This window comes from Homo sapiens, chromosome 18 (genome assembly GCF_000001405.40).
Source record: "Homo sapiens chromosome 18, GRCh38.p14 Primary Assembly".
Taxonomy (NCBI): domain Eukaryota; kingdom Metazoa; phylum Chordata; class Mammalia; order Primates; family Hominidae; genus Homo; species Homo sapiens.
The window spans coordinates 26,243,240-26,266,986 of record NC_000018.10 but is presented as its reverse complement, the minus strand read 5'-3'; the positions used below and the strand labels follow the sequence as shown (position 1 = coordinate 26,266,986).

The following is a 23,747-nucleotide window of genomic DNA, read 5'->3' as shown; positions in this document are numbered from 1 at the left end:
CTGTCATTACAATGAGCCTGATTCATCAAGAAAATGCTAAACTACATTCAGTATTTTTATTTAAATAAAATACCCATTAAAAAATATACATATATAATTTTTGTTTGTTTTTTTTGTTTTGTTTTGAGACAGAGTCTCGCTCTGTCGCCCAGACTGGAGTGAGGTGGCACGATCTCGGCTCACTGCAAGCTCCGCTTCCTGGGTTCATGCCATTCTCCTGCCTCAGCCTCCCGCGTAGCTGGGACTACAGGCGCCTGCCACCACGTCAGGCTAATTTTTTTGTATTTTTAGTAGAGACAGGGTTTCACCGTGTTAGCCAGGATGGTCTCGATCTCCTGACCTCGTGATCCACCCACCTCAGCCTCCCAAAGTGCTGGGATTACAGGCGTGAGTCACCGCGCACAGCCCCACAAAAATATTTTTAACTCTATCAAACAAGGTAAGCTTCAGTTATCTAGAAAGATCACCATGGATGTAAAATAGGTCATTCTAACAATGCCAAGTTAATGAAATGCAGCAGATTTCTGTATTTCTTAAAGATAATTTCTGTAAGATACAAATGAAAATGAATACTATAGGCTGGGTACAGTACTCAGCCTGTAATCCCAGCACTTTGGGAGGCCAAGGTGGGCGGATCACCTGAGGTCAAGAGTTCGAGACCAGCCTGACCAACATGGAGAAACCCCATCTCTACTAAAAATACAAAATGAGCTGGGCGTGGTAGCACATGCCTGTAATCCCAGCTACTCAGGAGGCTGAGGCAGGAGAATCACTTGTACCTGGGAGGCAGAGGTTGCGGTGAGCCAAGATCATACCATTGCACTCCAGCCTGGGTAACAAGAGCAAAACTCCGTCTCAAAAAACAAAAAAGAATATTACTATTTTACCAAAAATTAAAATTAAAGCAGAACTGGTCAAGTGCAGTGGCTCACGCCTGTAATCCCAACACTTCGAGAGGCGGAGGCGGGCAGATCACCTGAAGTCAGGAGTTCAAAACCAGCCTGGCTAGCATGGCAAAACCGTGTCTCTACTAAATAAACACAAAAATTAGCTAGGCATGGCAGTGGGCGCCTGTAATCCCAGCTACTCGGGAGGCAGAATTATTATATTCTTTCCATTTAAGATGCAAATAGGCCAGGTGCAGTGGCTCACACCTATAATCCCAGCACTTTGGGAGGCTAAGAGGACTGTCATGAGCCCAAGAATTCAAGACCAGCCTGAGCAACAAAGCGACATGCTACCTGTGCAAAAAATAAAATTAGTCGGGCATGGTGGTATGCAGTTGTGGTCCCAGCTATATGCGAGCCTGAGGCAGGAGGATTATCTGAGCTCGGGAGCTTGAGGCTGCAGTGAACCAAGTGAGCCATGTTCACGCAATTGTACTCCAGCCTGGGAGAGAGAGTGAGATCCTGTCTCAAAAAAGATGCAGATAGCCCTCTGAACATTCCTTTGAGGACATAAAATCTGAAGACTGAATTTACTATTTTGGCAATTATCAGAGGACAAAACCAAAAATCTTTATTAAATTGACATATTCAAGGCAAGCTGACCTAAAAAGCTGAATAGAATCATGTCTTACATTATTTTTTACTAGCAAACATATACACAACATTTATATGAAAATTATAGCTGAGAAACAAAGAAAGATGAAAAATATTTAAGGTATATTACCGGCACTGTACAGATTTTGACTGTTTGAGGATTCGCTGGTACTGCTGGCCTTGAGGTTATGTTACTTGTGGTCTCGGCTCTTGTTACAGTTTGCTGAGGAGATACCAACATCAACGGACCACTGTTACTTTTAATCAAAACGGTTCCTATATTTAAAAAAGAAAAAAAAGTGACCTCTGAGCCACTAAATACAGCATAACCATCACATATTTTCTTCTCCCATTTCTTTCAACACTTTAAAAAGATGTCTTCAATACATACTGAATTTCATGTCTGCTACTTATATACAAAGATGAACAAATGTTTTTACTCCAAGCTATTTAAAAATTTAAAATCTATGAATATAATGAGATGCTCCTGAAGAAAGCAAAACACTTTTCCTTCATGACATCAAAACTATCTATAAAGCTACAGTAATTAAGATGGTGTAGTTAACAGCATAAGACTGAATAAGCTGACCACTGGAATAGAATAGAGAACCCCCAAATCAACTCATGCAGATATATCATATCACATTTTCCTAAAAGGCTCTGTAGACTTATGAGGAAAGGAGACTATTCAGTAAGTGGGGCTGGTCAATTAGCTATCTATACGAAAAAGATAAAATTTGAGAAAGAAAAATATATGTAAATGTGAGCCCTTTAAAATTATCTCCCCCAGAGAGGCATTAAAATGAGACAGCAATTAGGTCTTACTCCCCTTTGCTATGTAATCAATCCTCTCTTGAAACTGCTTGCTATAGCCACAAGTAGCTCTAAAGTAACCTAACAATGCCACATGCCAGATAACATAAACCACACTCTATAGTTCAACAATCTATAACCAATCAATGTTATTTCTGTAAACCAATGAGGATTCCTGACAAATAACTCTTTTATTTTTATTATTTTTGAGACAGAGTCTCGCTCTGTCGCCCAGACGATCTTGGCTCACTGCAACCTCCGCCTCCTGGGTTCAAGAGATTCTCCTGCCTCACCCTCCCCAGTAGCTGGGATTACAGGCATGCACCACCATGCCCAGCTAATTTTTTTGTATTTTTAGTAGAGATGAGGTTTTGCCATGTTGGCCAGGCTGGTCTCAAATCCCTGATCCCAGGTGATCCTCCCACCTCAGCCTCCCAAAGTGCTGGGATTACAGGTGTGAGCCACTGCACCCGGCTGACAAATAATATTTTAATCAACCCACTCTTTATCCTTTTTCTGCTTTTAAAAACCTGTTTATTACAAAGGCACTCCCCAAGGCAATTTGTGTGTCCTGGGCAGCTGTACTCAACCTCGGCCCAAATAAACTCTCTATATTAATTCTGCCTCAGCTTCTTTCTTTTGGGTAGACCTTTCAGATGCCTATTTCACACACATTCACAAAAACCAGGTGTATTAAGAATATAAAAGTAAAAGGCAAAAATTTTTAAACTCTTAGACAATGTAGAAAATTATCTTTCTGCATGCCTGTAGCCCGTAGTCCCAGCTACTTGGGACAACTGCTGAGGCAGGAGGACAGCTTGAGCCCACAAGCTCGAGGCTGCAATGAGCTATGATCGCATCTACACTCCAGCCTGGGACACAGAGCAAGACCCTGTCTCAAAAAAGAGAGAGAGAGAGAGAAAGAGAGAAAGAGCGAAAGAAAGAAAGGGCTTTCTGAACTTGGGATAGGGAAGAATTTCTTAAAGTTCAATAAACTCAACTACATTAAAAGTAAAAACTGTTATTCAGCAAAAGACACCATCAGGTAATAGGACACGCCACAAAATGAAGCAAAATTTTGGTTCACATATATTCAAAGGATGAGTATCCAAAATGCACAAAAGAAACACAGAGGCCAAGGACAAGGAAAGGTAAATTAAGACCACAGTGAAATATCACTTCATATCTACATAGACAAGCAAAGATTAAGATGACCAATGACAATACCAAGGGTTAGAGAAACGTGTATCAACGGAATTCTAACATCTTGGTGGTGGTAGTACAATTTAGTACAACTAACTACTTTCTTCAACTTTACATCAAATTTATTTCCATTTGCATATCCTGTAACTCAGTATTTCTAACCTAAAGTAATTATTGGCCAGGCATGGTGGCTCACGCCTGTAATCCCAACACTTTGGCAGGCTAAGGCAGGAGGATCTCTTGAGACCTGGGGTTTGAGACTACCCTCAGCAACAAAGTGAGACCCTGTCTCTACAAAAACAATTTTTTAATTAGCCAAATGCAGTGGGCATGTGCCTGTAGTCCGAGCTACTCAAGAGACTGAGGTGGGAGGCTCACTTGAGCCCAAAAGTTCAAGGCTGTAGTGAGCTATGATGGTGCCACTGCACTTCCGCCTAGGTGACAGAGCACAACACTGTCTCTAAATAAAATCTTTTAAAAAAAAAAAAGTCTTTTGTGTCAAAAGGAGGCACAGACAAAAATATTCACAGCTGGAGTTCCACTTTCAGAATGGTGGCAAGAGGATCTCTACAACTCTGTTCCCCAGTAAAATAGGCATAACTGGTGAAAATTATTTTTATAAAACAATCATTCAAAGTTTTTGGAAACCGGTCAGGTATGGTAGCTCACACTTGTAAACCCAGCACTTTGGGAGGCCAAGGCAGGCAGATCACTTGAGGCCAGGAGTTTGAGACAAGCCTGGCCAACAGGGTGAATCCCCGTCTCTACTAAAAAAATACAAAAATTAGTGGAGGGTGGTGGCAGGCACCTGTAATCCTGAGTAGTAACTCAGGAGGCTGAAGCACAAGAATCGCTTGAAACTGGGAGGTGGTGGTTACAGTAAGCCGAGATCGCGTCACTGCACTCCAGCCTGGGCAACACAGAGAGATTCTGTCTCAAAAAAAAAAAAAAAGTGTTTGGAAACTGTCCTAAGGCATGCAGAAAATGACTACAGTTATTGGAGATCTGCTAAAACTCAGTAAGAATAGCAAGAATATGTGGCATTTGCTGCAACCAACTCCCCTCTCTTTCCCTTCTCAGCTCAACATGACAGAAATTCCATTCCAGGGAGTGTGGCCAAGAAGACAGGGCTCCCTCTCTCCTAACCTCCCAATCTAAGGCTATGGTATCTTCCCGGGAGGAGGAAGTCACTTGCATTTCTCATCTACCCCCAATCCTCACCCCCCATCCCAGCTACATATTGAAGAGGATAAACTTGAGACAGGTGCATCTTAGGGTTCAAGTCTCCCTTCTTTCACCCATTCCCATTCATAAAAGGAAATCTGTACTTCAAGGAGAGCACACTGGGAACACTTGGACCTCAAGTGTCTCACCCCAGCTCTTTCACAGGCTGGAGGTGTTCCATGTTGGGAGAGGTGAGCAGAAAAGACCTGAGTACTGCCCACACCCAGTACCTTGTTCCTAGAGCAGGGATATCACTCAGAGAGAAGAAAGCCACAGTCCCGACCTCTGCTCCCAATATCTCCCTAAATGAAATGTCTTTACGTTAAACAGAGTGGAGAAGTTCAAGGCTAAAGGCACCCTCAAATACAAAGTAGCAATTAAGACGAGGCTGGTAGCTTCATGAGAGATACAAGCTAAACCATAAGTCTACTAGTTTACCAAAGAAAACCAAAGAGACAACTAAGAAGGGTCCTCCTTGGGTCAGAACAAACCTCAAACACTGGCCTAAAAAATTATCTCTGTAAAGGAGCCCAAATTTAATTGGATCAGACTGTGGAACAAGTTAGGCTCTAGGGCATTGTTGAAAACAATAGGGCAATCAGCTGGCAATGAGTGGATCCTAACAGCCAGCTGTGATACCAGCATAAGCAGACAGCTTAACAGAGAGATGAGGCAGAGACAGAGTCCTGCTAAAGATGACAGTGCTGGCCGGGCGCAGTGGCTCACGCCTGTAATCCCAGCACTTTGGGAGGCCGAGGCGGGCGGATCACAAGGTCAGGAGATCGAGACCATCCCGGCTAAAACGGTGAAACCCCGTCTCTACTAAAAATACAAAAAATTAGCCGGGCGTAGTGGCGGGCGCCTGTAGTCCCAGCTACTTGGGAGGCTGAGGCAGGAGAATGGCGTGAACCCGGGAGGCGGAGCTTGCAGTGAGCCGAGATCCCGGCAGTGAGCCGAGATCCCGCCACTGCACTCCAGCCTGGGCGACAGAGCGAGACTCCGTCTCAAAAAAAAAAAAAAAAAAAAAAAAAAATGACAGTGCTCATGTTCAAGGATGTGCCCTCTAAAAAGTAACATCAGCAGCTGCTTATTGTAGCAAAAGGAGACCTCACTAAAACAGTCTAGCCAGACCTTTTTTAAAAATCAAAAAACAGTAACACACCCAAGGAGTGGGGACCAGTATTAAGAGTTGCTACACTATAGTTAACAACAAGCTATGACATGTAAAGAAACAGAAAAGTGTGACATAAACACAGAGGGAAAAGCAGGCAACAGAAACCACCTGTGAGACAGATTAGATGTCAGATTTAATAAATGTCAGAGTAACAATTATAAGTATGTTCAAAGGAATAAAAGGAACCATACTTAAAGAAGAAAGGTGTGATACATCTAGAATATCACTAGAGATAGATATTATTTTTAAAAAACGGAACTTCTGTCATTACAGTAACAAATTCACAAGAGATTCAAAAGTAAACCTAAACTGGCAAAAGAAAGATCAGCAAACTTGGAGATAAATCTGTAGAAATTATGTAATCCAAAGAACAAAAAGAATGATGAAAAATATAGACCAATGGAACAGAACAGAGCCCTCAGAAATAGTACCACACATCTACAACCATCTGATCTCTGACAAACCTGACAAAAACAAGAAATGGGGAAAGGAGCCCCTATTTAACAAATGGTGCTGGGAAAACTGGCTAGCCATATGTAGAAAGCTGAAACTGGATCCCTTCCTTATACCTTATACAAAACTTAATTTAAGATGGATTAAAGACTTAAATGTCAGACCTAAAACCAGAAAAACCCTAGAAGAAAACCTAGGCAATACCATTCAGGACATAGGCATGGGCAAGGACTTCATGTCTAAAACACCAAAAGCAATGGCAACAAAAGACAAAATTGACAAATGGGATCTTATTAAACTAAAGAGCTTCTGCACAGCAAAAGAAACTACCATCAGAGTGAACAGGCAACCTACAGAATGGGAGAAAATTTTTGCAATCTACCCATCTGACAAAGGGCTAATATCCAGAATCTACAGAGAACTCAAACAAATTTACAAGAAAAAAACAAACCCCATCAAAAAGTGGGTGAAGGATATGAACAGACACTTCTCAAAAGAAGACATTTATGCAGCCAAAAGACACATGAAAAAATGCTCATCATCACTGGCCATCAGACAAATGCAAATCGAAACCACAATGAGATACCATCTCACACCAGTTAGAATGGCAATCATTAAAAAGTCAGGAAACAACAGGTGCTGGAGAGGATGTGGAGAAATAGGCACACTTTTACACTGTTGGTGGGAATGTAAACTAATTCAACCATTGTGGAAGACAGTGTGGCAATTCCTCAAGGATCTAGAACTAGAAATACCATTTGACCCAGCCATCCCATTACTGGGTATATACCCAAAGGATTATAAATCATGCTGCTATAAAGACACACGCACATGTGTGTTTACTGCGGCACTATTCACAATAGCAAAGACTTGGAACCAACCCAAATGTCCATCAATGATAGACTGGATTAAGAAAATGTGGCACATATACACTATGGAATACTATGCAGCCATAAAAAAGGATGAGCTCATGTCCTTTGTAGGGACATGGATGAAGCTGGAAACCATCATTCTCAGCAAACTATTGTAAGGACAAAAAACCAAACACCACATGTTCTCACTCATAGGTGGGAATTGAACAATGAGAACACTTGGACACAGGGTGGGGAACATCACACACTGGGGCCTGTCGCGGGGTGGGAGGAGGGGGGAGGGATGCATTAGGAGATATACCTAATGTAAATGATGAGTTAATGGGTGCAGCACACCAACATGGCACATGTATACATATGTAACAAACCTGCATGTTGTGTACATGTACCCTAGAACTTAAAGTATAATAAAAAAAAAAGAAGAAAAATAAACAGATTCTCAGAAAACATGGAACACCATTAAAGACACCAACATAGGCATAATGTTAGTACCAGAAAGAGAGGGGAGAGAGAAAGGAACAGAAAAAAAAAAAAATCAAAGAAATAACAGCTGAAAGCTTCCCAAATTTGGAGGAAAATAATCCAGACATCAAAGTAGCTCAAGAAACCCCAAGTAAGCTAAACGCAAAGAGATCCCCACGCCAAGACACATGGTAGTAAAAATGTTCAAAAACAAAGAAAAAAGGAAGGCAAAGACATTTAAAATTTAAAAACAGGCTGGCACAGTGACTTGTAATCCCAGCACTTTGGAAGGCTGAAGCAGGAGGACTGCTTAAGTCCAAGAGTTTGAGACCAGACTGGACAACAAAGCAAGACCCCATCTCTAAAAAAAAAAAAAAAAATTAAAAGTAGCCCAGTGTGGTGGCGCACACCTGTAATCCCAGCTACTGGAGAGGTTGAGGTGGATCACTCAAGCCCAAGAATTCAAGGTTGCAGTGAGCTATAATCACACCACAGCACTCCAGCACAGCCAACAGAGCAAGACCTTGTCTCTAAAAAAAATTTTTTTTTAATTTAAACTGAGAAGATTCATTAGTAGCAGATACTCCATACAAAAAACACTAAATGAAGTTCTTCAGGCTGAAAACAAGTGACCAAGGCAGTAATTCAAATTCACGTGGAAAAAACAAAGAGCACTGGTAATTATGTAATTTGGCAGTATAAATGTATTATTACTTCTTCTTTCATAACTGGTTTTTAAAAACTATTGTATAGAACAATATATATAGAATTACGTCTTTGGAAATTTAACATACAGGAATGTAAAATTTTTACAAATAGAAGCACAGAGGAAATGGGTGGAAGCAAAGCTGTATTGTACTAAAGGTACTTCAGATGGTAGCTCAGAAGCAAAGGAACAAATGAAGAAAATCCAGAAAAGACAAATAAGGTAATATAACAAATGACATAAACATGTCCTTGCTCTCTTCTTCCCTCAGCTTTTTTTTTTTTTTGAGATGGAGTCTCGCTCTGTCACCAGGCTTGAGTGCAGTGGTGCGATCTCAGCTCACTGCAACCTCCGACTCCTTGGTTCAAGCAATTCTCCTGCCTCAGCCTCCTGAGTAGCTGGGATTACAGGCACATGCCACCACGCCCAGCTAATTTTTGTATTTTTAGTAGAGACGGTGTTTCACCATGTTGGCCAGGATGGTCTCAGTCTCCTGACCTCGTGATCTGCCTGCCTCGGCCTCCCAAAGTGCTGGGATTACAGGCATGAGCCACCACACCCAGCCTCAGCTTCTTTAAAAGACATAAAATTATGTAACATAATAATTGTTGGGTTTGTAATATAACTAGATGCAAGGTATAAAGCAATAATTACACACACACACACACACACACACACACACACACACACACACACGCACGCAGAGGAAAGCCAGAAATGAACTATATGAAAGAAAGGGCTTCTCTGTCTCACTGAAATAAGTTAATATACACATGAAGGAGATTCCAATGAGGTTCATATTGTAAGCCCTAAAGCAACCTCTAAGAAAAACACTCAAAAACATGTTGAAAAAATTACAAAGGATAAGTGTTACCCTAGAAAATATTTGCTTAATACAAAAGAAAGCAGGAAAAGTATAGAGGAAAAAGTAAAAGAAACATATAGGAAACAAAAGTAAATGGCAGGCTAAGTCCAACTATATATATATAACAACATTAAATGCAAATGTGAATGTACAAAATAATCCAGTCAAAAGGGAGAAAGTGCTAGGTTGGATAAAAAACAAAATTCAACTATATGCTCCTTACAAGAGATATACATTAGACTCAAAGATATAAAAGAGTTGAAAATAAAAGACATCATACAAACAGAACCACAAGAAAGCTGTAGTGGCCATACTAATATCAAAATAGACTTTAAACAAGAGATAAAGAAGGGCATTTTGTAATGATGGGGCTAACAGATCAACACGATGTAACATTTTAAGCACATATACCTCACACACAGAGCCTAAAATACATGAAGCAAAAAGTGATAAAAGGAAAAATAATTCAACAATTGCTCGGACACTGCAATACCCCACTTTCAATGAAGAATAGAACTAAACAGAAAAGCAGCAAGGAAATCAACCACTTGAAAAAACTATAAACCAACTAAACCTAACTCAGATCTATGGAGTACTTCACCTAACAACAATAGCATTCTTAAGTGTATGCGAAACATTCTCCAAGACAGACCATATACTAGGACACAAAACAAACCTCAATAAACTTTCAAAAATTGAAATTATATTAGGTTGGTGCAAAAGTAATCACGGTTTTCGCCATTGAAAGTAATGGCAAAAAAAACACAATTACTTTTGCACCAACCTAATACAATGTATGGTCTCCACCTACAATGGAATGAAATTAGAAAACAGTGACAGAAAAAAAAAAAAAAGTGGGGTAACTCCCAAATATGTGCATAATAAACACACTTCTAAGTAACCAATGGGTCAATGAAGAAATCATAAAGGAAACTAGAAAATACTTTTGAGATGAATGAAAATGAAGATACAGCATACCAAAATCTATGTGATGCAACTAAAGCAATATTCAGAGAAAAATGTACAGCTATAAATGCCTGTCTTAAAAAGGAAGAAATATCTCAAATCACTAACAACCTTTTACCTTAAGACACTGGAAAAAGAAGAGCAAAATGAAAACTAAAGCAAGCAGAAGAAAAGAAATAATAAAGATTAAGAGCAGGGGCAAATAGAGAATAGAAAAACAACTGAGAAAAATCAACAAAACTGGAGTAGGGAGTGCTTGAGGGGGACTGGCCTGGCGTGCACTCTGCACCTCGGGGACGTTATTGCGCGTGGAACGGCTGCTTTTGGAAGACTTTTGCCCAGAAGAAAAGATGTTTGGTTTTCACACGCCAAAGATGTACCGAAGTATAGAGGGCTGCTGTATTTGCAGAGCTAAGTCCTCTAGTTCTCGATTCACTGACAGTAAACGCTATGAAAAGGACTTCCACAGCTGTTCTGGATTGCATGAGACTCCTTCAGGAGACATCTGCAATGCCTGTGTCCTGCTTGTGAAAAGATGGAAGAAGTTGCCAGCAGGATCAAAAAAAAAACTGGAATCATGTGGTAGATGCAAGGGCTGGACCCAGTCTAAAGACTACATTGAAACCAAAGAAAGTGACTCTATCTGGGAACAAGATAAAGAGCAACCATATCAGTAAACTGCAGAAGGAATTTAAACATCGTAATTCTGATGCTCACAGTACCACCTCCAGTGCCTCCCAGCTCAATCTCCTTGTTACAGTAACCAGTCAGATGACGGCTCAGATACAGAGATGGCTTCTGGTTCTAACAGAACACCAGTTGTTTCCTTTTTAGATCTCACATACTAGAAAAGACAGAAGACATGTTGTGGGATCATCTATAAAGGCCGTTTTGGGGAAGTTCTCATTGACACACATCTCTTCAAGCCTTGCTGCAGCAATAAGAAAGCAGCTGCCGAGAAGCCAGAGGAGCAGGGGCCACAGCCTCTGCCCATCTCCACTCAGGAGTGGTGACTGAGGTTTTTATGTAGAAGGGGAACAAAAAAAACCATCTAAATTTTGAAGACCACAAAGCAACAAACTGACCCTCTTTTTTTTTTTTTTTGGAGACAGAGTTTTGCTCTTGTTGTCCAGGCTGGAGTGCAGTGGCGTGATCTTGGCTCACTGCAACTTCGTCTCCCGGGTTCAAGTGATTCTCCTGCCTCAGCCTCCCAAGTAGCTGGGTTTATAGGTGCCCACCACCAGACCCAGCTAATTTTTTAGTTTTAGTAGAGACAGGGTTTCACCACGTTGGCCAGGCTGGTCTCAAATGACCCTCCTATTTTTAACTTGGATACCTGCTATTCTGCCAAAAGACAATTTCTAGAGTAGTTTTGAATGGGTTGATTTCCCCCAGTCCCACAAACTCTGAAGCCAGTGTCTAACTTACTAAAAAAAGAGTTGTACATAATATTTAAGATGCTGAGTATTTCATAGGAAAGCTTAATGCTGCTGTAAAGTGCTCTTTAAGTCTTTTTTTTTTAATCCCCTTCTAATGAATGAAACCAGGGGAATTTCAGGGGACAGAGATGGGATTTGTTGTATGATAAACTGTATGTAGTTTTCAGTCTTTCTGTATTGAGAAGCAGTGGTTGGGGCATTTTTTAAGGTGGCTGGCTACTCTTGTTTTCCCTCATGATAGTAAGTTTGTCATAACTCAGTAACATGGACTTGCCCCTAGAGGCAGCTGTTAATAATTTTGAAATATTAAGGTCTTGCCAAGCTTCTGATGATTCAAACCTGTACTACTGATTATTAAGCAGGACAGACTGAGCTTTCTGTTGCAAATCCCTTGGAGGAGAAAGTAATTTCTAAATATACAGAAAGGTAACTTGACTATATATGTTGCATCCTGTGCCTCCCTTCATATTAATATTTGATAAAGATTTTAATTTATATAAAACTTCTAAAGCAGAATCAAAGCTCCTCTTAGGGAAATGGCACGTCTCTAGGACAGGCGAGACCCTGTATAAATAGTACCAAAGCATTACCGCACAGTAGAAAACACACTCTATTAAAAATGTTAAGCTATCTGAAAAAATGTGCAAGTCTTCGGGATGGCACAAAACAAAGGTTAATGCTTCTTGGGGCACATTTCTTAGAGGGCTTGCTGAGTGTGTAAATGTAATCGATTTTTGTGTTACATGACTTTGATGACTTCATTGAAAATCTGCACAATTCAGTTCCAGCTCCGGATTACTTCAGTTGACCTTTGTGAAGGTTTTTATCTGTGTAGAATGGGTGTCTGACTTGTTTTAGCCTATTAAGTTTCTATTTTCTTTCACTCTGTATTAAAACTAAAATTTACTAAAAGAGAAAAAAAAGAAAAATCAACAAAACCAAAAGATTGTTCTTTGGAAAAAAAATAAACAAAACTGACAAACCTTTACCTAGAATGACTAAGAACAAAGGAAAGACTCAAACTATTAAAATCAGGTGTGAGGCCAGGCATGGTGGCTCAGGCCTGTAATCCCAGCGCTTTGGGAGGCCAACGTAGGTAGATCATTTGAGGTCAGGAGCTCGAGACCAGTCTGGCCAACATGGTGAAACCCCGTCTCCCCTAAAAATACAAAAAAATTAGCCAGGCATGGTGGCACATGCCTGTAGTCCCAGCTACTCAGGAGGCTGAGGCAGAAGAATCGCTTGAACCCGGGAGGCAGAGGTTGTAGTGAGCTAAGATCATGCCACTGCACTCCAGCCTGGGCAACAGAGCGAAACTCCATCTCAAAAAAATAAATTAATTAACAAAATAAAATGGGGGGGGTGGGGGGGCATAAGTTTTACACAAATAAGGATTATAAGGGAAGACTAGAAACAATTATAAACTAATAAATTAGACAATTTAGATGAAACAAATTCCTAGAAACACATAAACTACTGAAATTGACTCAAGAAAGAATAGACAACCTGAATAGGCCTTTAAGAAATGAAGATATTGAATCAAAAGAGGATCTGTAAGAAAAGCGCAGGTCCAGATGACTTCACTGGTCAATTCTACCAAATATTTAAAAGAAAATTTAATGTTAATCCTTCACAAAGTATTCCAAAAAATAAAAAAGCAGGGAACACGTCCCAACTCAATCTATAAGGTCAGTATTAACGATACCAAAAACAGACAAGGACATCACAAGAAAACCACAGGTCAATATCCCTTATGGATATAGACACAAAAATTCTTGACCAAGTACTAGCAAACTGAATCCAGCAATGTTTTATATGTGTTATATACCATGACCAAGTGATAGTTATCTCAAGAATACAAGGGTGGTTTAGTATCCAAACACTAACTACTATAAAACACCCTATCGATAGAATGAAAGACAAAAAACACATGATCATCTCAACAGATGCGGAACAAGCATTTGACAAAATTCAACAAGCCTTTCTTTCAGATAAAAAGACCCAAAAAAAGAGAAACAGAAATTTTCTCAACCTGATAAATGGATTTACAGAAGACCCACAGATAACATCATACTTTTGGTGAAAGTCTGAATTTCTCCCAAGGATCAGGAATAAGACAAGGATATCTAAGATGAAGGATGAGACAAGGATGCCTACAATCACTACTTTTGTTCAACATTATATTCAGAATTCCACCAAGGGTAACTGGGCAAGAAAATGAAATAAAAGGCATCCAAATCAGAAGGGAATGAGTAAAATTATTTACAGATGGCATGATCTCATAAGGTTCCACAATCTCAGTGGATGCCTAAAACCTCAGACAGTGCTGAACCCCACATATTATGTTTTTTCTATACATACATACCTATGATAAAATGTAATTTATAAATTACACACAGTAACATACTGGCAACAATAACTAATAATAAAATATATATAAATAAATAAAATAACTAATAAAATAATAAATAAAAATAAAAATAGAATAGAATAAAAAAATATGCCACCAGCATCACCACTCTTGTAAGCTTTGGGGCCCTTATTAATTAAAATAGGGTTACCTGAACACAAACGCTGTAATACTGTGTACTATAACAGTCAAGAGGGCTACTAAGTAACTAATAGGTAGGTAAGTGTACAGAGTGTCAATACACTGGACAAAGGAATGATTCACATTTCAGGCAGGATGCAGTGGAATGGAGGGAGATTTCATCACGATACTCAGAATGGCACACGATTTAAAACAAATTGTTTATTTCTGGAATTTTCCACTTAATATTTTTGGAGGCAGTTGACCATGGGTAAATGAAACCATTAGATAAGGGAAGAGGAACTACTATATATAGAAAATCCTAATGAACCCTCTAAAAAACTATTAGAAGTAATCAATTTAGCATGGTAGCAGGATACAAGATCAATATTCAATAATCAACTGTATTTTTATACACTTGCAATGAATAACCATAAATGAAATTAAGAAAATGATTCTATTCACAATAGCACCAAAAAGAATAATATACTTCAAGGATAAATTTAACAAAGTACAAAACTAACACTATGAAAACTAAGAAATGTCTTCATACTTTAATTACTTTCAACATGTAAAAAACACGTTGAAAAACGTATGTTGAAAGTAATTACAGAAGATCTAAATAAATGGAAAGAGATCCATGTTCATGGATGGGTAAACCTCAGACCCACCTCACTGGATTGTTAAAGGAACCAAATGAGACAATATATGTGAGAGGATTTTTGAATTTTTGAGCAGGTAGCTATTAATGCCAAGAGGTCCACAATTCAAACTTTTCTTCAACTAAGTACTCAAAACATCAGTAGGAGGCAATATTAGAATAGCTGTAGACAGGCAATGCTGAGAATAAAATAACCAGCTCATCTTCAGACCAAAGTGTTTTCAAGATGCAAAACACTCCTTTTGCAACCTTAACCAATTATTTATCTCAAAGGCCCAATGCCAATGAGAAGCAATAATATAATAGAAAGCACTTAAAAACAAAGGGAAACTGAATGTTAGTCTCTTCTCTGAAGACCAGTGACCAAGTTTCTTTGAATCCAATCCTGATAAGTATCTGAGACTCACTTTTTCCAATCATAAAAGAATGGCCTGTTTATTCTACAAGCATATTGACAGAATGTAATCATATATTAGGTTACATAGCACCGTTCCTCTATAAATATTAAGATATTAAAGTGTATCGTGGTCCAGTGTCCACTCTCTACTTGGTACATGATTTACATATTCTACCCTTCAGCCCAGTGAACTGCTACATCCCAACATCCAAAAATGCCAATTTCTTGGTGTCAAGCTGATCTGAATGGAAGTTCTCTGACTTCTCCACATTCACAGCATTTGTAAATACTGCCCCTGAAAAAATAGCAGATCCTTACAAATCTAAGAGCCTTAAAGATGCTAGAATTCATCTATTACAATTTAATACATATACAGAATGCCTCACTAGTCACCTTTTAGCCTCTTTTCAAATAGTCCAGGGTTAGGAAAACGCAGATTTCTTTGTGTCACTCTTTCACAAGCAGATCACGAATATAAGTCCTTCCTTAATATGGAACCAAACGTGCCTCCCATTAATATCCAGAGATGTGAGGGTACCTTCTGCAACCACACAGAATAAGCCCACTCTCATTTCCATAGGACTGGAAACACTTAGACGCTAAGTTGTTTCCTTCCTCAGGCACTAGAGGCCAAATTTCTTCCATTTTTCACGTCACAGTTTTCCTTACAAAGAGCTTAAAGTCACTTAAATTTCCCTCATTTCCTGAATTGAATAAATAAAAGAAAAAATTAAAGCAATCAAGAAGTTTATATCCCAGGTCGTGCTATTAGTTATGGTATATCTCCCCTATCCTCCATTTACACAGCTGATTTGCCAAAATTGAGCTTCTATTTATCTCTATTAAATTTCATTTTTTAAGGATAGGTTGTTAGATTTCAGGTGATGTTTACTTTCTTCTTTTTACTTTCCATATTTGTTGGTCTTTTTATATGTATGTATTATTTTACAAAAATAAGTTTGTTAGACAAAAACTAAACCCACAGAATATCTACCCTATTTATTACTGCATCTATGGCACTTAGCGTAGAATCCAGGATATAGTTAGCACTGATCACATTGGTAATCTCAGCACTTTGGAAGGCTGAGGTGGGTGGATCGCTTCAGCTCAGGAGTTCAAAACCAGCCTGGGCGAAATGGTGAAACCCCATCTCTACAAAAAAAAATTTTTTTTTTTTTTTTTTTGAGATGGAGTCTCGCTCTGTTGCCCAGGCTGGAGTGCAGTGGCGTGATCTCGGCTCACTGCAAGCTCCGCCTCCCGGGTTCACGCTATTCTCCTGCCTCAGCCTCTCGAGTAGCTCGGACTACAGGCGCCTGCTACCATGCCTGGCTAATTTTTTGTATTTGTAGTAGAGACAGGGTTTCACCGTGTTAGCCAGGACAGTCTCGATCTCCTGACCTCGTGATCCGCCTGCCTCGGCCTCCCAAAGTGCTGGGATAGGAGGCGTGAGCCACCGCGCCCAGCACAAAAATTTTTATAATTAGCTAAGCCTGGTGGTACCTGCCTGTGGTCCCAGCTACTTGGGAGGCTGAGGCAAGGAACACTTGAGCTCAGGAGTTTGAGGCTGCAGTGAGCCATGTTCGAGCCACTCCACTTCAGCCTGGGGGACAGAGTGAGACCCTGTTTCAAAAACAAACACAACAACAACAACAAAAACTGGACGGCTGCAGTGGCTCATGCCTGTAATTCCAGCACTTTGGGAGACCAAGGCAGGTGGATCACATAAAGCCAGAGGTTTGAGACCAGCCTGGCCAACATGGTGAAACCCTATCTCTATCAAAAATTCAAAAATTAGCCGGGCATGGTGGCATGTGCCTGTAATCCCAGCTACTTAGGAGGCTGGGGCAGGAGAATTGCTTGAACCCAGAAGGTGGAGATTATAATGAACTGAGGTCATGCCACTGCACTCCAGCCTAGGCGAAAGAAAGAATGAGACTTTGTCTCTAAAAAAAAATAAATAAAGTGTTGAGTTCACAATATAGAAAATTGTCACCATATAATGATAAGTGAAAATCAGGATATAAAAGTGGTATCACAGAATCCCAATTATGTGAAAAATAGAGAACGTGTGCATAACATTTTTATTTCCAAAGAGACAAAAAGCTTTTGGGAATGAAATGCTCTATATCTTAATTTCATTGGTGCTACACCTTTATTAAATGTTTCAGCACTCAATTCACCGTAAATGATCTTTTTTTTTTTTGAGAGAGAGAGAGAGTTTTGCTCTGTTGCCCAGGCTGGAGTGCAATCTTGGATCACTGCAACCTCTGCTCCTGGGTTCAAGCGATTCTCAAGCCTCTCCTCCCAAGTAGCTCACACTACAGGCATGTACCACAATACCCTGGCTAATTTTTGTGTATTTTTAGTAGAGACCGAGTTTTGCCATGTTGGCCTGGCTGGTCTCGAACTCCTGGCCTCAAGTAATCCACCTGCCTTGGCCTCCCAAAGTGGTGGGATTACAGGCATGAGCCACCGCACCCAGCCAGGTTCCTCTTTTTTTTTTTTTTTTTGATATGGAGTCTCGTTCTGTCACCAGATTGGAGTGCAGTGGCACAATCTCGGTTCACTGTAACCTCCAGCTCCCTGGTTCAAGTGATCCTCCTGCCTCAGCCTCCAGAGTAGCTGGGATTACAGGCACGTACCACCACGCCCAGCTAATTTTTGTATTTTTAGTAGAGATGGTGTTTCACCATGTTGGCCAGGATGGTCTTGATCTCCTGACGTCATGATCCACCCACCTCAGCCTCCCAAAGTGCTGGGATTACAGGCGTGAGCCACTGCGCCCAGCCTAGGTTCCCCTTTTTTAATAACAAAAATTTTACCTCAATAAAGATGACATTTAAAAAGGAGATTAGGGGCCAGGTGCAGTCGCTCACGCCTGTAATCCCAGCACTTTGGGAGGCTAAGGCAGGAAGATCACTTGAGCCCAGGAGTTCAAGGCCAGCCTGGGAAACAGTGAGATCCCAAATGTACCAAAAAAAAAAAAAAATTAGCTGGGCATAGTGAGGCACACCTGTAGTCCCAGTCACTCAGTAGGTTTGACGTAGGAGAACTGCTTATGCTAGGGAGGTCAGTCTGAAGTGAGCCCTGATTGTACTAATGCATTCCAGCCTGGGTGACAGCAAGACCCTGTCTCAATTTTTTTTACTTTTTTTTGAGACAGAGTCTTGTTCTGTTGCCCAGGCTGGAATGCATTAGTACAATCAGGGCTCACTTCAGACTGACCTCCCTAGCATAAGCAGTTCTCCTACGTCAAACCTACTGAGTGACTGGGACTACAGGTGTGCCTCACTATGCCCAGCTAATTTTTTTTTTTTTTTGGTACATTTGGGATCTCACTGTTTCCCAGGCTGGCCTTGAACTCCTGGGCTCAAGTGATCTTCCTGCCTTAGCCTCCCAAAGTGCTGGGATTACAGGCGTGAGCCACTGCGCCCAGCCTAGGTTCCCCTTTTTTAATAACAAAAATTTTACCTCAATAAAGATGACATTTAAAAAGGAGATTAGGGGCCAGGTGCAGTCGCTCACGCCTGTAATCCCAGCACTTTGGGAGGCTAAGGCAGGAAGATCACTTGAGCCCAGGAGTTCAAGGCCAGCCTGGGAAACAGTGAGATCCCAAATGTACCAAAAAAAAAAAAAAATTAGCTGGGCATAGTGAGGCACACCTGTAGTCCCAGTCACTCAGTAGGTTTGACGTAGGAGAACTGCTTATGCTAGGGAGGTCAGTCTGAAGTGAGCCCTGATTGTACTAATGCATTCCAGCCTGGGTGACAGCAAGACCCTGTCTCAATTTTTTTTACTTTTTTTTGAGACAGAGTCTTGTTCTGTTGCCCAGGCTGGAGTGCAGTGGCACGATCTTGGCCCACTGCATACATCTGGGCTCAAGTGATTCTCGTGCCTCAGCCTCCCAAGTACCTGGGATTAGAGGTATGCACCACAACGCTTGGCTAGTTTTTGTGCTTTCAGTAGGGACAGGATTTTGCTATGTTGGCGAGGCTGGTCTCGAACTCATGCCCACAAGTGATCTGCCTGCCTCGGCCTCCCAAAGTGCTGGGATTACAAGATGTGAGTCACCATGCCCAACCCTGTGTCAATTTTTTTTAAAAGAAGATTTTTTAAATATACTCAAAACTTTGGGGGGAGGGTAATATTTTTGTGTAATTTTTCTGTTTTCCAAATTTTCTACAGTAAGCATCATCTTTTTAATTTAAAAAATAGGGACAGGTAGGCACTGAGATAACTTAAAGACCCATACTTTCAGACGGCTGAGAATTTGGAGGGTCCTCATACATGTTAGCTAAATAGCAACCACAGAGTACCTATCAACAAATGCTGCATAAGTACCTTAAATATTCATGACACTTCTGCTGTGCAACATTGTATTCCACATAAATGGTGTTCCCCAGAATTCTGTGATATGCAGACTCTGTATACTTATTCTATTTAACCCTTATGATATTTTTCAGAAGGTATTAACCGTATTTTAGAGACAATATAGCTGACATTAAGAATGAGATTAGGACAGGCATGGTGGCTCACGCCTGTAATCCCAGCAATTTGGGAGGCCGAGGCGGGTGGATCACCTAAGATCGGGAGTTCGAGACCAGCCTGACCAACATGGAGAAACCCCATTTCTACTAAAAATATAAAATTAACCAGGCATGGTGGCACATGCTTGTAATCCCAGCTACTCGGGAGGCTGAGGCAGGAGAATCGCTTGAACCCAGGTGGGGTCAGTGGCGGGGGAGAGGGTTGCAGTGAGGCGAAATCATGCCACTGCACTCCAACCTGGGCAACAAGAGTGAAACTATATCTCAGAAAACAAAAAAGAAAAAAAAAAGAATGAGATTAGGCCAGGTGCGGTGGCTCACGCCTGTAATGCCAACACTTTGGGAGGCCAAGGCCAGCAGATCACCTGAGGTCAGGAGTTTGAGACCAGCCTGGCCAATATTGTGAAGCCCCATCTCTACTAAAAATAAAAAATTAGCCAGGTGTGGTGGCACACACCTGTTGTCCCAGCTACTTGGGAGGCTGAGGCAGGAGAATGGCTTGAACCTGGGAGGTGGAGGTTGCAGTGAGCTGAGATCGCGCCACTGCACTCCAGCGTGGGCGACAGAGTGAGACTCCATCCAGAAAAAAAAAACCACAAAAACAATGAGATTAATAACTTGCCTAGATTACAAAGCTATCAAGTGGTAGAGCTGGGATTCAAACTCCAGGACCAATGTTCTCTCCTATGTTGCTACACTCTATTACATTCCACAAAAAGCCAACCCTACAAGCCCATTATTATCTACAAACTTGATTGGCATACCATCTAGGCCTTATTCTGTGGTCTCGGACTGAACTTTCTAGACAACTATGTATCATATACCTAGTTTACTACAAGGTAACAAGAGCCTTCTTAGACATAGTCATTCAGTAAGTAACAAACCCATACACTGGTATTATCATCCAGCCTACATTTCTCTATATTGAAATCCTACCTTCCCCCTCAATTTCAATGCTCATATATTCTTACCATTAATTAATGTCTGAAAAATGACTTCTTAGATTCCATGGGTAGTTTTCTAAAATTAAGTATTAATACTGTTGATTACATATTTAAACAATTTTTGGGGAGTAAAATTTAGCAATGCCGATTGAAATATTACCATTTGAACCAACAATTCCACTTCTAGCAATTTATCCTATAAAAATCCACGTTTCCAAACTGCACAAAAATACACATGCAAAGATGTTTATCACAGCATCATTTTTAACAGCAGAAAGTAGTGCAAACAGTATCAACGCCTGCGAATAGGCAAGTGGTCAAAAAACAATGTTATGTCAATACAGTGGACTACAATGCAGTTGAAAAAATGAAGCATTTATAGGTACTAATGAGAGGTGAAGCCAGCTGGACTTCCTGGGTCGAGTGCGGACTTGGAGAACTTTTCTGTCTTACAAGAGGATTGTAAAATGCAACCATCAGTGCTCTGTAAAAACGCATCAATCAGCACTCTGCAGACAGCAAGAGCATTCTAAAAATCACCAATCAGCGCTCTGTAAAATGCACCAATCAGCGTTTTGTAAAATGCACCAATCAGTGCTCTGTAAAATGCACCAATCAGCAGGATCCTAAAAGTGGCCAATCACAGGGAAGATTGAAAAAAGGGCACTCTGATAGGACAGAAATGGAACATGGGAGGGGCCAATAAGGGAACAAAAGCTGGCCACCCCAGCCAGCAGCAGCAACCCACTTGGGTCCCCTTCCACACTGTGGAAGCTTTGTTCTATCGCTCTTCACAGTAAACCTTGCTACCACTCACTCTTTGGGTCCGTGCCATCTGTAAGAGCTCTAACACTCACCACGAAGGTCTGCAGCTTCATTCTTGAAGTCAGCGAGACCACAAACCTGCTGGAAGGAACCAACTCTGGACACATCTTGGGGGCTTGTTCAGGATATCGCCACGTGATAAGGACCATCGGACCCCTTTTGCTTGCTATTCTGTCCTATTTTTCCTTAGAATTTGGGGGCTAAATACTGGGCACCTGTTGGCCTGTTAAAAATGACTAGCATGGCCGCCAGACTAAAGACACGGGTGTCAGGCTTTCTGGGAAAGGGCTCTCTAACAACCCCAGACTCTTTGGAGTTCGGAGCGTTGGTTTGCCTGGAACCAGCTTCCACTTTTCCTATACTTCTGGGCTGAGCCAAGGGTCGACAGAGAGGAAAGACATTCAGCTCTGGGGTCCCGACAAAAAGTTGGTTGACCCTGCAGCAGTGAGCGGAACTCTCAAAGTTATGTCGCCCAAGCGAGACTCACCCATCTATCCTATCTATCCTGAAACTTGCCTCCTGCGTCCTAATGCCTGTCAGACAAACTTCCTCCCACCTCTCTTCTCCAAGGCTACTCCCACTCCTAAAAACCACTCCCTGTCCCTGTTGCTCTTCTAGTTTCTCTTATAAGGATAATTTCTAGTATAAATTTCGGGGGGAGGTTCCAAGATGGCCGAATAGGAACAGCTCCAGTCTACAGCTCCCAGCATAAGTGACACAGAAGACCGGTGATTGCTGCATCCCCAACTGAGGTACTGGGTTCATCTAACTGGGACTTGTTGGACAGTGGGTGCAGCCCACGGAGTGTGAGCCAAAGCTGCGGGGGCATCGCCTCACCCAGGAAGCACAAGGGGGTCAGGGAATTGCCTTTACTAGCCAAGGGAAGCCGTGACAGACAGTACCTGGAAAATCAGGACACTCCCATCCTAATACTGCACTTTTCCAATGGTCTTAGCAAATAGCACACAAGGAGATTATATCACGCGCCTGGCTCAGAGGGTCCCACGCCCACAGAACCTCGCTCACTGCTAGCACAGCAGTCTGAGATCAAACTGCAAGGCGGCAGTGAGGCTGGGGGAGAGGGGTCCGCCATTGCGGAGGCTTGAATAGGTAAACAAAGTGGCGGGGAGCTTGAACTGGGTGGAGCCCACTGCAGCTCAAGGAGGCCTTCCTGTCTCTGTAGACTCCACCTCTGGGGGCAGGGCATAACTGAACAAAAGGCAGCAGAAACTTCTGCAGACATAAACATCCCTGTCGGACAGCTTTGAAGAGGGTAGTGATTCTCCCAGCACGGAGTTTGAGATTGGATAGACTGCCTCCTCAAGTGGGTCCCTGATGCCAGAGTAGCCTAACTGGGAGGCATCTCCCAGTAGGGGCCAACTGACACCTCATACAGCCAGGTGCCCCTCTGAGACGAAGCTTCCAGAGGAAAGATCAGGCAGCAACATTTGCTGTTCTGCAATATTTGCTGTACTGCAGCCTCCACTGGTGATACCCAGCCAAACAGGGTCTGGAGTGGACCTTCTGCAAACTCCAACAGACCTGCAGCTGAGGGTCCTGACTGTTAGAAGGAAAACTAACAGAAAGGACACCCACACCAAAACCCCATCTGTACATCACCATCATCAAAGACCAAAGGTAGACAAAACCACAAAGATGGAAAGAAACCAGAGCAGAAAAGCTGAAAATTCTAAAATTCAGAGCGCCTTTTCTCCTCCAAAGGAACGCAGCTCCTCACCAGCAATGGAACGAAGCTGGACGGAGAATGACTTTGATGAGTTGAGAGAAGAAGGCTTCAGACGACCAGTAATAACACACTTCTCTGAGCTAAAGGAGGATGTTTGAACCCACTGCAAAGAAGCTAAAAACTTGAAAAAAGATTAGACGAATGACTAACTAGAATAAACAGTGTAGAAAAGACCTTAAATGACCTGAGGGAGCTGAAAACCATGGCACGAGAACTACGTGATGCACAAGCTTCAGTAGCCGATTCGATCAACTGGAAGAAAGGGTATCAGTGATTGAAGATCAAATGAATTAAATGAAGCAAGAAGAGAAGTTTAGAGAAAAAAGAATAAAAAAAAATAAACAAAGCCTCCAGGAAATATGGGACTATGTAAAAAGA

At 41.4% G+C, this 23,747-nt stretch overlaps 1 protein-coding gene and 1 pseudogene across 7 annotated transcripts in view, besides 2 other annotated features; one reads left to right on the top strand and one right to left on the bottom strand.

Annotated features, from left to right (window-relative positions):
- TAF4B (TATA-box binding protein associated factor 4b) overlaps nt 1–23,747 on the bottom strand; it is a 165,241-nt gene that overhangs the window by 124,699 nt on the left and 16,795 nt on the right. For all 7 annotated transcript variants that reach the window (NR_121653.2, NM_001293725.2, XM_024451239.2 and 4 more), the window contains exon 2: nt 1,672–1,817. Coding sequence is in view for 6 of the 7 variants with exons in the window: in NM_001293725.2 (NP_001280654.1) it covers nt 1,672–1,817 (146 nt within the window). In the remaining variant the exon portion in view is untranslated. The remainder of the gene's footprint in view (nt 1–1,671; nt 1,818–23,747) is intronic.
- Nucleotides 5,208–5,708: an enhancer, noted in NCBI's record as "H3K4me1 hESC enhancer chr18:23841243-23841743 (GRCh37/hg19 assembly coordinates)". NCBI's record gives its function as "activates a minimal SCP1, AML or CMV promoter by ChIP-STARR-seq in primed H9 embryonic stem cells {active_cell/tissue: H9 hESC(primed)}" and the evidence as "EXISTENCE:reporter gene assay evidence [ECO:0000049][PMID:30033119]".
- On the top strand, nt 10,522–11,478 carry SINHCAFP1 (SINHCAF pseudogene 1; annotated as a pseudogene).
- Nucleotides 21,794–22,152: a silencer, noted in NCBI's record as "fragment chr18:23824799-23825157 (GRCh37/hg19 assembly coordinates)". NCBI's record gives its function as "represses an EF-1alpha promoter that drives an FKBP-Casp9 reporter gene in an ReSE screen in K562 erythroleukemia cells {active_cell/tissue: K562}" and the evidence as "EXISTENCE:reporter gene assay evidence [ECO:0000049][PMID:32094911]".